Below are 14,809 nucleotides of genomic sequence, written 5' to 3'. Positions count from 1 at the left end.
AAAACAGTTAAAAGTTATGTGGAAGTTATGAGCCTCCTCGGTGTAAGAATTCTGTCTTCTTTACTTTTTGCATCCCAGCCATCTGTCCTGATACCTAGTACATACTAACCATTTAAGAAATGCTGATTGAATAAGTGAATGATTTTATGATGAAGAGGTATACACAATATTGGGTTGCTATTTTGGTGTCCCAAGCAACATAGCCAAAATAGGTCAACTGAAAAATTATCACTATGAATTAAAATCTGTTTTACATAAACTTTTCAAGGCCCATTCGGCAAGAAGGTAAGAGCTCCTTGGAGGAAACCTACCTTTTCCTTGAAATCTAAAACTTTTTGAAGAAGTGTGAGCAAAGCAATATTTTTCATGATTACCGACTTTACTCCCTAAGAATGTATAATCTAGTGATTTTGGCTTTTGTCCTCTTCTCTTCTTAGTGTGAAGCACTGTACTTATATGGAGTTATGCTACTGGTCATTGACCAAAAGATTGAAGGAGAAGTCAGAGAGAGGATGCTGGTTTCTTACTACCGATACAGGTATTCCTGGGCTAGGACTACACTTCCGAAACGCTGCTGTCGGTAAAATGCAGTGTATGTCCCCATATTCCTTATACTGTGAACAGCAGTAATCCAAGAATAGATAAGAAAGTATACGATTCAGCCGGGCACAGTGGCTAACGCCTGTAATCCCAACACTTTTGGGAGGCCAAGGCAGGCAGATCATCTGAGGTCAGGAGTTTGATACCAGCCTGGCCAACATGGTGAAACCCTGTCTCTACTAAAACTACAAAAATTAGCCAGGCACGGTGGTGGGCGCCTGTAATTCCAGGTACTCAGGAGGCTGAGGCAGGAGAATCGCCTGAACTCGGGAGGCGAAGGTTGCAGTGAGCGAAGATCATGCCACTACACTCCATCCTGGGTGACAGAGCGAGACTATGTCTCAAAAAAAAAAAAAAAAAAAGTAAGATTCTTATGTCTTGTGAGCATATTGTAGGTATATAACAATTACATATTTCATAATGATTATAAATTATATAATCTATGTATTACATATCAAGTATTCTATATATTATAGATTATTAGAAGTATGGATTATGCTGTCCCTAATGATAACTCCAATTTTAAAAAGGAGTCTGAATTGTGAACTTTCTTTACCTTGAGGCTAAATTTCAAAGAATCTTAGAAATCTAATGAAGATTATTTTTGCTTTTGTTGTTTAAGTTTTCAAATATTACTCCTTGGCAGATATAAGGAAATAAGTGTGCTTTCTGTTGTCATTTCAGTTTGATGACTTTGAAAAGTTGTCATTCAGAGTCAGGTTGAAAGTGAATTCTCTCCCATGTTTACATAGAAACAAAAACAAATCAAGCAACAGCACATATCCACAAATCATTTGTTGTGTTTATCTATACAGAACTGTGATTCTTCAGGAAGTAAGGTCTTGAAAACAGGAGCCACCTTAACCAACTTTTTAATTTTAGTGTCTAACGCACAGATTTTCAATTGGTTGAATGAGCTAAAAATGGAATACCAGGTCAATGTCGGAGATAGTCAAGATTCAGAGAAGAAACTGTCAAGAAGGAGGAGTCAGGAGCTTGAGCTAAAGATGTAAAGAGTAGAATTAACATTTTCAAACTTAAAAATTAGGACAAAGTAGACAAGGAGAAGGGGGTTCTTTGGGGACATTATACTTTTCGGCAATACCAGGTACTACTGTGTCCTCAGCAGCAAATTAGTCTTAGGCTCCTCAACTAGCCTTTTCCTTTCAGCTGAAGGGAGTGTTCTAGCAGTGTTCATTCATGTCAGTTTGACCAAGCTGTTTTAACATCCATGTTTTTAAAAATGAGATTTGAATGGCCTTTCCTATATTTCTGAGAGTACCTGGAAAAACAAAAACTATACACAGTGTAAAGAAGAAGAAAAAAATATTGGCTTATGAAGCCCAGTTTTGAAAATATGGCTTTGTCCCCTTTGGTACAACAGCTAATTCATTAGAATGTGAGCATTTATTATTGAAGTGACACTGAACACTTCCAAGTCACAGTCGTGGCAAAAGAGATCCTTACAGCAAATAGCAGGTCATATCCAAGTCTAAGATTCTTTGAATCTAGTTCATTTCTTTCAGAGCTTACTATTCCACCCGGAAAAATCACAGACCTGTTTATTAGATCTCTGTAGAAGGAACAGCTTGCCAAGAAAAAAGTTAGATATATTTTACTTTAAATTGACATAATATTTTTAAATTATTTTTTAATTTGTAAAATGTCAGGTTCACATTCTTTACCCACAATTTTCAAATCCAAAGAGCTCTGAAAAAATATATATACACGAGTATACACACAACACACATGTACATATACATAGTAATTCATTTGGCAGCAAAACCTGATGTAAGCTGAAATCATTTGGAGTCAAAACTTGCCTGGAATAGGTGTGAGGCTATATATAGTCTTCACTTATCTCACTTTTGTAAATATTTATAAATTTTCCTCCAGAATTATTCACTTATGTTGATCATGAGATGCCAATTCAGACCCTGCTGGAGTGTTGTATTGTGTATGATCTATATGCCATATGACTCTTACTATTTGAAAAATGCTATATTCCGAAACAAATCCACTCCTAAGGATTTTGGAAAAGGGATTATGGACCTTTACATAGTATGAATACCCATCTTCTAAACAGGCTTTCAAAAATATAATTTTGAGGCCGGGCACAGTGGCTCACACCTGTAATCCCAGCACTTTGGGAGGACAAGGTGGGTGGATCAGTTGAGGTCAGACATTTAAGACCAGCCTGGGCCAGCATGGTGAAACCCCATCTCTACTAAAATACAAAAATTAGCCAGGCACGGTGGCAAATGCCTGTAGTCCCAGTTACTCAGGAGGCTGAGGCAGGAGAATTGCTTGAACCTGGAGGCAGAGGTTGCAGTGAGCTGAGATCACGCCACTGCACTCCAGCCTGGGTGACAGAGCAAGACACCATCTCAAAAAAAAAAAAAAAAAAAAAAAAGGTTATATATACATACATAGCGAGACTCCATCTCAAAAAAAAATGTATATATATATATATATATATATACACACACACACACATATATATACACATAATTTTGAATCTTGAGGATATATTGAGGATATAGATGGACCTGTGATCATATCTGAAACTATATTGAGTCAAAGTAGAATGGAATTCTACTTTATTGGACTTTTCAGTTTCTAATATGTGTGTTTTGGGTCTTTGTTTCCCATTGTGAATATGACTCAGTGCTGCTCGATCTTCTGCTGATTCAAATATGGACGATATTTGTAAGCTGCTTCGAAGTACAGGTTATTCTAGCCAACCAGGTGCCAAAAGACCATCCAACTATCCCGAGAGCTATTTCCAGAGAGTGCCTATCAACGAATCCTTCATCAGTATGGTCATTGGTCGACTGAGATCTGATGATATTTACAACCAGGTGGGAATTAAATCTATTAAGACCTATTAAGACAGTTTAACAGACTGATTTCACTTCCCTCTTTAATTACTCCTTTCCTTCCTTCTTTCCCAAAAGAGTAAAAGCAGGTAGAACCTTTTAAAACCTTTTGAGCTACACCCCAGGATGATAAAGGAAAGAGGGTTATTAATTTTGCCAGAATCATATATTTCAGGGAGAAGATGGAATTTGAGCTATTGGGAAGAAGATGCATTCTTTTAGTCATTCATTCAAGAAATGGTTGTTGAGTATGTGATACGTGCCCATTCACATGCGCAATGCTGGGGACCCATCACCGAAGAAGACAGGCCATGTCCCTGCCCCTACTGAGCTTGTAGCTTAGGAAAGGCAGATGACAGGATTATAGTAAAGCAAGATGGGTGTTATCTTAGGGTAAGCACAGGGTGCCACTGGAGCATGCAGCAGTGGCAGCAAGGTCACAACAGGTGACAAAAGGAAGGTAAGAGGAGTGCCAGGAAAGGAGGCAGCCTGAGCAAGGCTGTGAAGATCATGCAGCATTTGAAAATCGCCCCACTCCCCTTGCCAGTATGTGTAGTAGTCACTTCCTTTTAAAAAACGCCAAATAAAATTACCATTTGACTTCATTCTTCTGAAGAAAACATAATTTTAGATGTTATATATTTAAATATTTGTAAAAATTATAATTAGGGAGTAAAGAGGCCTGTGATAACTGTGGATATCATTTATCACAGAATGAACCTGATCTGTGCAGTTCTTTAGGTAGCTTGTTAGTTTTTTGTGTGAATATGTTAAGTATAAATAAGAGGGTTTTTGTTGGTGGTGTTGTTGTTGTTGTTTTAAGACAATTCAAAATCAGAAGCTACCCACAGATGCCAGGTCTCCATAATAATTGTTGCCATTCATTGAGAATTCAGTCCAAACCAGCCACAAAGGAGGTTTTGTTCCCATACCATTTTCTCTGTTCCTCACAATAGCCCTGTAAAGTAGATGGCATTATCCCCCATGTTGCTGTTGAGAAGAATAAGACTTGGAGAGCTTAAATAATTTCCTTAAATTCCTGTTACTAAGTAGCAGAACCATAACTTGAATTTGGTCTGTGTCAATTCAGAGCATCTCATTCCTGATTGCCTCTCATTCCACGTCCTTCTGAAGGCAATGTGCTTCCATTTCCTCCTTGCCCCATGATCTTTATTAGCACAAGGGTTAAGCTGTGATTGTGCTGTGTGTCCACCCCACTCTCTGTCCTGCACCTCCCCCATCCCTGGTCATGGGTGATGGAACAGATTCTGTCTCCAGGTAATTTGGAATTGGGCCTGAGAAACAGTTTCTGGATTGGAGTTTATCCACAACATGCAAAATTGGGAGTTTGTGGGCAGCCTCATTCTGCCATGTATATGGCGAGTAGCCTGGAGGGAGAGAAAAGGTGGGCCAACACATCAAGGGGAGAAAGAGCGAAGGCATTCCGGTTCCCAGCCCCAGCCGCTTCCTGTGGCCTGGCCACATACCTGCCTGCAGGTTTCATGTGACATGGCTATGTCTGCCCTTATAACAATTTCTCTCCTTTTTGCTTGTGGTAGCTCAAGGTGATATGTGCTTTGTGCATCCAAAGATTTCTAGTACGTGAGGGGATGAACCCCTGGGGAACACCAACATTTAAAAGGCAGAAGATGAGGACTCAGCAAAGGAGATTGAGAAGAGAGAGTGGTATCTAGGAAACCAGAGAAGGAGAGATTTCATTCCTCAGAGAATTTAAGTGAGAGTCTTAAAAAGAAGCCGTTGAATTGGATGGTTGTGAGGTCATGAGCGACCGTAGGGAATTCCACTGGGATGATGATGGAGGTCGAATTTCAGTGAGTTGAATAATAAACAGAAAGTGAGAAAATAGCAACAGTGAGTGGAGCCTGTCAGTTCTAAGGGTTGTCTCCAACAGGAAAGATACAAAAATGGAGAAGTGGTGGGAGACACAGGAATGGGACTTTTTTTTTTTTTTTTTAAGAAAAGACTTAGAATTGCAGCGGTCAAGGGCTGGAAGAAGAGAATATTATGGTGTTAGGAATAAGAAGGAAGACCTTGGCAAGCAATGGTACAGTCTGAGAAGGGCTTCCAGTGTCCAGGATCCTGAAAGGTGATGGGCTTTGGAAAAACTGATGTGTCTTACAACCAGAGAGTTTAATTTGAGCATGTCTACGTGCAAATGTTGCCAACAGCTTTCTCGGGGTGTCGTCTTGACATTGCAGGTCTCAGCGTATCCTTTGCCGGAGCATCGCAGCACAGCCCTGGCAAACCAAGCTGCCATGCTGTACGTGATTCTCTACTTTGAGCCTTCCATCCTTCACACCCATCAAGCAAAAATGAGAGAGATAGTGGATAAATACTTTCCAGATAATTGGGCAAGTATTGCTAATTTTTTTCCTCTACAGTAAATGTGTTAGAGAACTAACTTCCCATTCTTTTGGCCTTTAACCCACAGGTTGTAATGTTGTAAATAATGGGACATAACATCACTTAGGTAAACTTGCTCTAACTGTATTGAGAATTTTATAATTATAACATGAAGGAATAAATGAGTCAGTAAAACTTCCTGAAGAACCCACTAGTCTTTTTCTAAAATGGATACTCTCAAGATTAAATCATTTATTAAAATGTCTCTTGCTTTAGCTACTGAGATTACAACTAAGTTGTGTAAGAATTTATTTATTCTTTTCCATTTTCTGAATCTAAGATAGCCAAATTCATCTAATTTGTCACTTTGTGAATAGGAATTTCACTTTAATAATAAAGTTTTACCTATAAGCTAACTGTAATGGGGTTACTAAAGTTTATATTATTGCAAGGATATGCTTGTACCTTTGTAAGCATTGTTTCATTTAAAAATATTCTTATAGGAATAAAGCTTGCTTCATAATATATATGAAATGAAATATATGAAAACAAAGAGGCTTTAACAAAATGCAGGGAGTTGGATTATATTCGCATGTAGCAGATTTTGTTCTGCTTCTATATCGGCTGTTGAATCACATAAACTATCGTTATGAGGGGCCTTCAATTTATTGGTAGTATGAGAACAGCCTACATTAGGAAGTGGTGGTTCCTGGCCAACTGTGAATCATATTAGTGAGCTCAGAGTTGAGCAGCCAAGAGGAAAACACTGATAGTGTGGCTTCAGGTTCCTAAGTTTAATAAAGAAGTTTTGACCATGATACTATAATTAAAGACATATTTATTATTAAGAAAGACCAAAATCCAATTACATGAAACCTGTAAGATACACACCTGAAAAAATACCCTAGCACAGTGAAAATGAAGGGATTTTAAAAAAAGATATCCCAGGCAATTGCCAACCAATAAAACAACTGGTGAGAAAACATTAATATTACACAATAGAGAATTTCAAAAAGCAACGTTAATAGGTGTAAAGAGATCTTTATACCTATTAACGTGAATTAACAATCAGGAACACTTACTTAACAATCAGGAACACTTACCTATATATTTGGAAAATCTTGGTTTTTCATTGGAATGGAATTTAAACATGGAGTGGGTATTGCCTTCTATAACTTTAGTATTCAACCCTTTGCCTTGAAGTGAGTAGGAATTTAACAAATTCTGAATGTCTCCTCTTTCAGGTAATTAGTATTTACATGGGGATCACAGTTAATCTAGTAGATGCTTGGGAACCTTACAAAGCTGCAAAAACTGCTTTAAATAATACCCTGGACCTTTCAAATGTCAGAGAACAGGTAGGTTCTAATCTGGGGACATTCTCTGATAACTGCAGGCCTAGTTTATGAAGTAGCAAATAAGCTAAGTAGATTTCCCAAGGAATTTGGAAGATAATCACTTAGATAATTTAATGCAATGATTAATAAAAGGTGAATTTTATAGGTTAGAATAAGATAGGTAATTGTAGGTTTTGTTATATAGTATATGTAAATTGAAGATTAGGATCCCAAGGAAGAGTCAGTACCCTAAGACAAAGAAGCATGGCATATGCCCCAAATGACTTAGTTTACTTTTGCTTAAAGACTATATTCTCATGGCCAGAGTTGGTTGTACCAATAGCTGGAATTAATATGTTTTTATAAGTAGGATGAATGATGAAGATGATAACTGAATATGGATAATATGTCCTGTCACTGTAATTTAAATTTATCATTTGTGTTGTGCTAAATAAGCAACAAGACTCAAGACATTCATCTTAAAGGTTAAACGGTTATATTCTATCTCTTTTGTTCTTACACAAGGCAGAAGGGAACATCCAAGTAAGTAGAGGAATAAAGATAAAATCTTGGGGAGCATACTTGATATTTCTAAATGGTTATGTTCCTCATCCTGGCTCAGTTACTGAGTTTCCTGTGTGGATAAAACAATATTGACTCAAAAAACTTCATCATGTTTTATTCAAGTAAATTGAATTCCATAAATAATGCACAAAATAATTTCAATGTTGGCACATCTCCTAGAAATATATTAGAGAAAGTGGCACTTTTATACTTAGCAACATCAGATCATTAATTTTTCATTGCTAAAATCCCTTTCTAAAATTGCATTTTCTCATTTGTGACATTTTTAAGAGGTTTCTTGATACCACAGATTTCAACTAACTTGATGAGGTTAATGATGTTTAACATTTGACTTCCTTTAAGTAAAGCAGAATGACCAAATTTTCCAAAAAGCTGGTTTGGAAATTCATTTTTGATATACTAAGGTGTATTTTTTGCTAAGCTTTCATAAGCCTGTAGAAGAAGTCTTATATTTTAAGTGTTTCTGCTCTGTTCTGCCTTCTTTGTCAACAGTATTAGCAAGAACAAGCAATTGAACTTCTGTCTTTATTTTCTTTTTCATCTAAGTTAATAATAGAAGAGTTCTGAGGAACCACCTGGTCCAAGTCTCCGTTTGAAATTTGAAGAAACCAATACACAGGGGTTAAGCCCCAAGTCACACCAAAGTTTAATCACAGCCAGAACTAGGATGTAGTCTCAGAATTCTAAGTCCAGTGCTTTTTTCAAATATGTTCAATAAGCCAGTTGTCTTTGAGCCCAATAAGTATAGTCCATATGTTATTCATCTTATATAGAAATGTTATCTTTGAGCCCTAGAACTATAGTCCATATGTCATTCATCTTATATAGAAATTACATAAAAATGTTAATGTTTGAGCCCTATAACTGTAGTCCATATGTCATTCATCTTGTACAGAAATTATATAAAAATGTTAAAGTTTGAGCCCTATAACTGTAGTCCATATGTCATTCATCTTATAGAAATGTTATCTTCGAGCCCTATAACTGTAATCCATATGTCATTCATCCTATATAGAAATGTTACTATTTGTCAGTGAATTCATTTGAATGTGATTTATTTTCAAGATAAATGACTTTTTAAATGTAATTCAAGTTTCTTATTTGTCAAGGCAAGCAGATATGCTACTGTCAGTGAAAGAGTGCATGCTCAAGTGCAGCAATTTCTAAAAGAAGGTTATTTAAGGGAGGAGATGGTTCTGGACAATATCCCAAAGCTTCTGAACTGCCTGAGAGACTGCAATGTTGCCATCCGATGGCTGATGCTTCATACAGCAGACTCAGGTAATGCACAAAAGGGGTGGCCGTTTATATTACTCCACATAAAGACTCTCAGAATCAGGACCTACTTCACGATGCAGAGTGGTTTAGCAGGGAGAGAGGCCTTGGATGAGAATCAAGTTGCTTTTTAAAGTTAGTCATTTTTTGTCAACTTGGATAGGCCACTAGCATACCTGAAAAGCTCTCCCCTGTCAGGTACTGTTAGGTGCTAGGGAATAAGAGGATGTTTATCTCTCATGTTCAAGGAGCTTGTCACTGATCAGAATGGGGAGATCAAATGTAGACATATGAAAAAATAGAACTGCAGATCTGTGGTAGGCAGAATAGTGCCTTCCAGCCCACACCCAGAGATGTTCATGCCCTAGTCCCTGAACCGGTAGATATATTACATGAAAAAGGGGGATTGAGGTTGCCTATTAGCTGACCTTTAAGGAGATGTTTCTGGATTATCCCAGTGGACTCAGTGTAATCATAAGGGTCCTTGCTGTGTGTGGTGGCTCATACTTGTAATCCCATCACTTTGGGAGGCCAAGGCAGGAGGAGAGCTTGAGCCCAGGAGTTCAGAACCAGCCTGGGTAACACAGTGAGATCCCATCTCTACAAAAAGTAAAAAAATTAGCTGGGCATGGTGGCACACACCTGTAGTCCCAGCTACTGGGGAGGCTGAGGTGGGAAGATCACTTGAGCCTGGGAGGTTGCAGCTGCAGTGAGCCAAGATCATGCTACTGCACTGCAGCCTAAGTGACAGAGCAAGACCACGTCTCAAAAAAGAATAATAAAATAAGAGCCCGCCCCCCCCCCCCACTTTTTTTTTTTTTTTAAGACAGGATCTCAAGTTCCCCAGGTTTGAGTGCAGTGGCACAATCTCAGCTCACTCAGACCTCCTGGGCTCAAGCGATACAACTTCCGCAATCCCCGCAAGCAGCTGGGACTACAGGTGTGTGCCATCATGCCTGGCTAAGTTTTTTGTATTTTTTTGTAGAGACAGTGTTTCACTGTGTTGGCCAGGGTGGTCTCAAACTCCTGAGCCCAAGCAGTCTGCCCACCTCGGCCTCCCAAAGTGCTAGGATTATAGGTCTGAGCCACCATGCCCAGCCTGTAAATATAGGGGTCCTTAAATCAGGAAGAGGGAGGTAGAAGTGTCAGAACCAGAGAGATAGCATTGTGACAAAAACCTGACTGGCCATTGCTGGCTTTAAAGATGGAGGGGGCCACAAGCCAAGGAATACAGGCAGCCTTTAGCTGCTGAAAACAAGAAAACAGACTTTTCCCCTAGAATGTCCAGAAGGAGCCCAGCGCAGCCATCACCTTGATTTTAGCCCAGTGAGCCCCATCTCAGATTTGTCACTTCTGGGATGGTGAGAGAATAAATTTGTGTTGTTTTAAGCCACTGAGTTTGTGGTAATTGTTAAAGCAGCAGCGGGAAACTAATTCAAGGTCCAAGGCAGTAAACAGACACCAGGTGTGTCAAACAGACAGTTGGTGTGATTTGAGTTCAGAGTAGAGAGGGAAACATTGCTTGGGATAGGGGAGCAGAGGAGGTCAGGAAACCCCATACAGGAATCAGGAGCCAACCAGGCGTGTGATGAGGTTTTGAAGCAAAAAGCAGAAGAAATTCTAGACTACAGAAATGATGGAATAAGTGATACGATTTTGAAAGTACAGAAAAACATATGGGCCCACTGAGTTGATGACCTGGCTGGACCAGAGTGCTTATTTAAGGTAGATTGGATCTTAGCTTTTTATGAGTCATGGTCTCCTCCGAGACCTTCTGTTCACACAGTTTGACCATCAAGTTCAGATTGTGAGAAATGCTTCAACCTCTGGTTTAATGGTAGAAAAATAAGTAAGTTGAATTAACATCTCTGAGCTTGTTCAGGGCTGGCACAGTTTCTTATTCTTCGTAAATGCTGGATCAACACTAATTAACCAATGCATTCCCTCATCCAGGACTGTATACCCCTACCCCTAAGAGGTGTGTCATTCAGCAGGCCTGTGAAGCCCTCTGCTTTTTGTTTTTCACTCAACAAACTTTCCTTGAGGACCAACTCTGAGACAGGCACTGTGTGCAGCACTTCTTTGTTCTTCCAGATAAGACTGTGTCTCTTTAAAAAACTGTGCACACAAGACTTCTCTGTAGCCTTCCTTTGTAACATGGTAGCCCCTGTCTCACAGCTCTTCCAGCCAAGATGACTTCACAGTCCTTCTAGCTACCGTCTGCTTCCACTTCCTATGGGTGGTCCACAGTGAAAACAGCAGTTGGACTTCCTCATCCTTCGTATCTTTGAAAATGTGTGGAGTTTCCCCTCAGCCTTCTCTCCAGCTTCTTAAACCTTTATCCTGAGAGCTGCTTTCCAGTTTGTTTCATCATCTTGTTTGTTGGCCTATATCCATTTACAATTTACCCACAGTATGAACACGATGGCTGAAGTTTTTAATCCCTGAATCTGTTTTTAATTAGTTGAGTTTATTTTTTACATAAACTCCAGTTCTAATTTGAGGATTTTACTACATTGACTCAGCTTTTAATCTTCTTTACCAAAAGTCTTGCATTCACAAGCGTATAAACAACTCAAGCCCTCACTTTATCCTGTCATAAAACCAACTGGGGTTTTCTAGTGACTCAGCCTCATCTTCATCTTCTGTGTGACTCTGCCTGACGGCCCTGTCTATGTTCGGAAAGCCGGCAGTCTCCTGAATTCGCACCCATGCCAGGGACAACCTTGGCTTGCCAGAGGTCTGTGGTTTTATCTTCAGCCACATTTGTCTTTTGCGTTTGTGCCTGGCAATTGTCTGACCTGATTGCACAGGGTCGTAATTTATCAGAAACAAATGATTGACCTATCTGATTGTGAGTCACACATGGGAAAAGCAACTGCTTAGTTAACTTTTGTGGAATTTCAGTCATGGTGTTCAGAAAAGCAGGCCTAGTCTCATTGCCTCCTGTTGAGTTGCTGGAGGCATTTCCCAGTCTTAGGATGCTTGTACAGAACCTTGTAAAGAAATATTCTCTGAGGAAATAAGGGATGAGAAAGGCTGGCTGGCTACTGAAGTTTGACCCCAAAGTTCTGATGGCTCTGCAGTTCTCTGGGTATGAATCCTTAAGGGTCAGATCTGAGAGAGATGGTCAGGCCCTGGGAACCCCAGAAGCAAACCTGGTTTATACCAAGAAGCTAAATGTTAAAGCACATTGAGGAATACAGAGTGTTTGTCCAACAACTGGGTACTTAAACATTCCCTATGCAAACATGAAAGCAGATTAAAATCAGGAGATTTCTAGTTTAATTAAAATTAGTATAAAGACAACTGGAGCTCCTTCTGAGTTTGTTTGATTTTTGTTTAGTTAGGTAAATATGGAGCTGAAAATTTTCACTTTGTGTAATCAGTGTCACCAGTTCCAATATATTTCTTCCCACATAGTTCTGGCAAATTCATGAAAAATCAGAACTTTGCAGTTTCCCATGAAAACTGAGCCTCTTTTCCAGGTTGTCACGAGTCTCCTCCTGATGGAGTAACTTAGAAATCAGCATATAAGATGACCTTCCACAGGCTTCATCATAACTAAAGCAACAAAACCACCCATGACATATACATATATCTATACAACATTGTTGTTCTGTACCTGCCAGACATCCTGAGATATTGATGGGGGCAGGACTAGGAAGGCAGGAGGGGGCACATGTAATACTAGTGTAACTACCATATACCTTATACCTATCAGCTGTGAACTTTTTGACAAAGTCTGTTTAAGTCTTAGAGTTTTTATTTTGACTTTATTTGTCTTAGTTCATTTTCTGCTGCTATAACAGAATACCACAGAGTAGGAAATGTATAAAGAAGTTTATTTGGCTCATGGTTCTGGAGGCTGGGAAGTCCAAGAGCATGGTGCCAGCATCTAGCAAGGGTCAATATATGCCAGATAGGCAGAAGGGCAAGATAGTGGGTGCAAGAGAGAGCTCACTTTTATAGCAAAGCCACTGTTGGAATAACTAACCCACTCCCAAGATAATGGCATTAATCCATTCATGAGGGTGGACCCCTCATAACACAATTGCCTGCCAAGGGCTCTACCTCTTAACGCTGACACAATGGCAACCAAGTGTCTAACATGTGAACTTTTGGAAGACGCATTGAAACCGCAGCAGTAGCTTTGCCTTGTAAGTATTTTGCCTTATTCTACTTACTCTTTCTTAGATAAGTAATTGGCCTTATAAACCAATCTAAGCAAATATCAATATTTTTTATTCTATTCTTTTAACTTGGCGTTTATTTCATTTGAAATGGTTTAGCTTGGCAGATAGGATCATCTAAGAATTAGGACATCCAGTATTTTTACCTTGGGTCAATCACTGCCTAATTTTGTGACCTTGGCCTAGTGCCTGGGTAGTGGATAGTTCAGAAAACTCTGACTGCCTGCCATGCCCTCTGGCCTCTACAAGAAGCAGGATGGCCAGAGGTCTGCTGCTTCTTGTTTGGGGGTCCCTCATCTTTGTGTGAGGAACCCTTCCTTGTTGTGTCGGGCATTCCCCACGACCACTCTGGCTTCAGTGATTCACTACAGGGACACAGAGGACTCAGCATCTAGTAGTACTCACAGCTATGATTTATTATAGCGGAAGGATAGAAAGCAAAATCTGCAAAGGAAAAGGGCACACGGAGTGAATTTGGAGGAATGAGGCACAAGCTTCCGAGCATCCTCTCCCAGTGGAGTCCCACAGGGCACACTTAATTCCCCCAGCAGTGAGTCATGACAATGCATATGAAGTGTTGTCAACCAGGAAGGCTCATTAGACTCAGCTTCCTTCGGTTTCTATTGGGGGCTGCTTACATAGGTAGCCTCTGCCCAGCATGTACCAAAATTCCAGACTTCCAGAAGGAAAACGTTGTTTGTACAATCATTTAAGGCTTAGTGAGCTGATCTTGTGAGTTCTCAAAATGATGGCAGCTCTTCGTGAAATTCAAGTTCCCAGATGCCAGCCAAGAGCCAACCTTGCAAACAGGCCTCTCTAGGGATAGCAGTCCGTTACTGAATGGCAGGGATCAATGTCTAAAGCAAAAGCAACTCCGAACAGACAGGACGTGAGGAAGCCACCCAGCTATGAAGTAGTACAAGGAGGCTCTGCCCATTCGTTTTAGACAGTTGCTATAAACAAACCGCAGAATGCTCACAAAATTTGGAAACACTGTTCTGCAGCTTGCTTTTTGTCATTCAACAATCTTTCAAGGATGGCACTCCATGTCAGATTCAACTGTCATTTAACAGTTTAATTGTACTCCATGGCATAGATGTACTATATTTCACCATCTTTTATTGATATACATTTTGCTTATTACTTTTTAAATGGTTAAAATGAAGGAAAATATTTAATAATTTATCTTATTTCATAGATATTTTCTACACATTTAGTAAGCAGGTAACACTTTTCCTGTTTCTAGCCTGTGACCCAAACAACAAACGCCTTCGTCAAATCAAGGACCAGATTCTAACAGACTCTCGGTACAATCCCAGGATCCTCTTCCAGCTGCTGTTAGATACTGCACAATTTGAGTTTATACTCAAAGAGGTAAAAATATTTGAATGAATATCACCACAGTCTTAGCTTTTTTATGCTTAAAAATATTTTTTAAAAAAAAGACTAGGATTGCTTGCTCTGTCTCTGATTCAAGGTACAGATTTGAGCTGTTGAGATAGTTCTTATAGTTAAAGGACAGGAATAAACATTTAACAAGCCTGTAGTGCCTCCTTTCACTGGGGATACAGTGATG

The 14,809-nt window shown here is 39.4% G+C and overlaps 1 protein-coding gene across 5 annotated transcripts in view; it reads left to right on the top strand.

Moving 5' to 3' along the window:
- WASHC5 (WASH complex subunit 5) overlaps nt 1–14,809 on the top strand; it is a 67,533-nt gene that overhangs the window by 9,594 nt on the left and 43,130 nt on the right. For all 5 annotated transcript variants that reach the window (NM_001330609.2, NM_014846.4, XM_047422502.1 and 2 more), the window contains 6 exons: nt 438–538; nt 3,269–3,461; nt 5,699–5,851; nt 7,088–7,201; nt 8,875–9,046; nt 14,480–14,607. In NM_001330609.2, the coding sequence (NP_001317538.1) occupies nt 465–538; nt 3,269–3,461; nt 5,699–5,851; nt 7,088–7,201; nt 8,875–9,046; nt 14,480–14,607 (834 nt within the window). In that variant the 5' untranslated portion in view covers nt 438–464. The remainder of the gene's footprint in view (nt 1–437; nt 539–3,268; nt 3,462–5,698; nt 5,852–7,087; nt 7,202–8,874; nt 9,047–14,479; nt 14,608–14,809) is intronic.

Source organism: Homo sapiens, chromosome 8 (genome assembly GCF_000001405.40).
Source record: "Homo sapiens chromosome 8, GRCh38.p14 Primary Assembly".
NCBI lineage: Eukaryota > Metazoa > Chordata > Mammalia > Primates > Hominidae > Homo > Homo sapiens.
The sequence above is the reverse complement of the archived record's forward strand: the minus strand, read 5'-3'. Positions and strand labels throughout refer to the sequence as shown.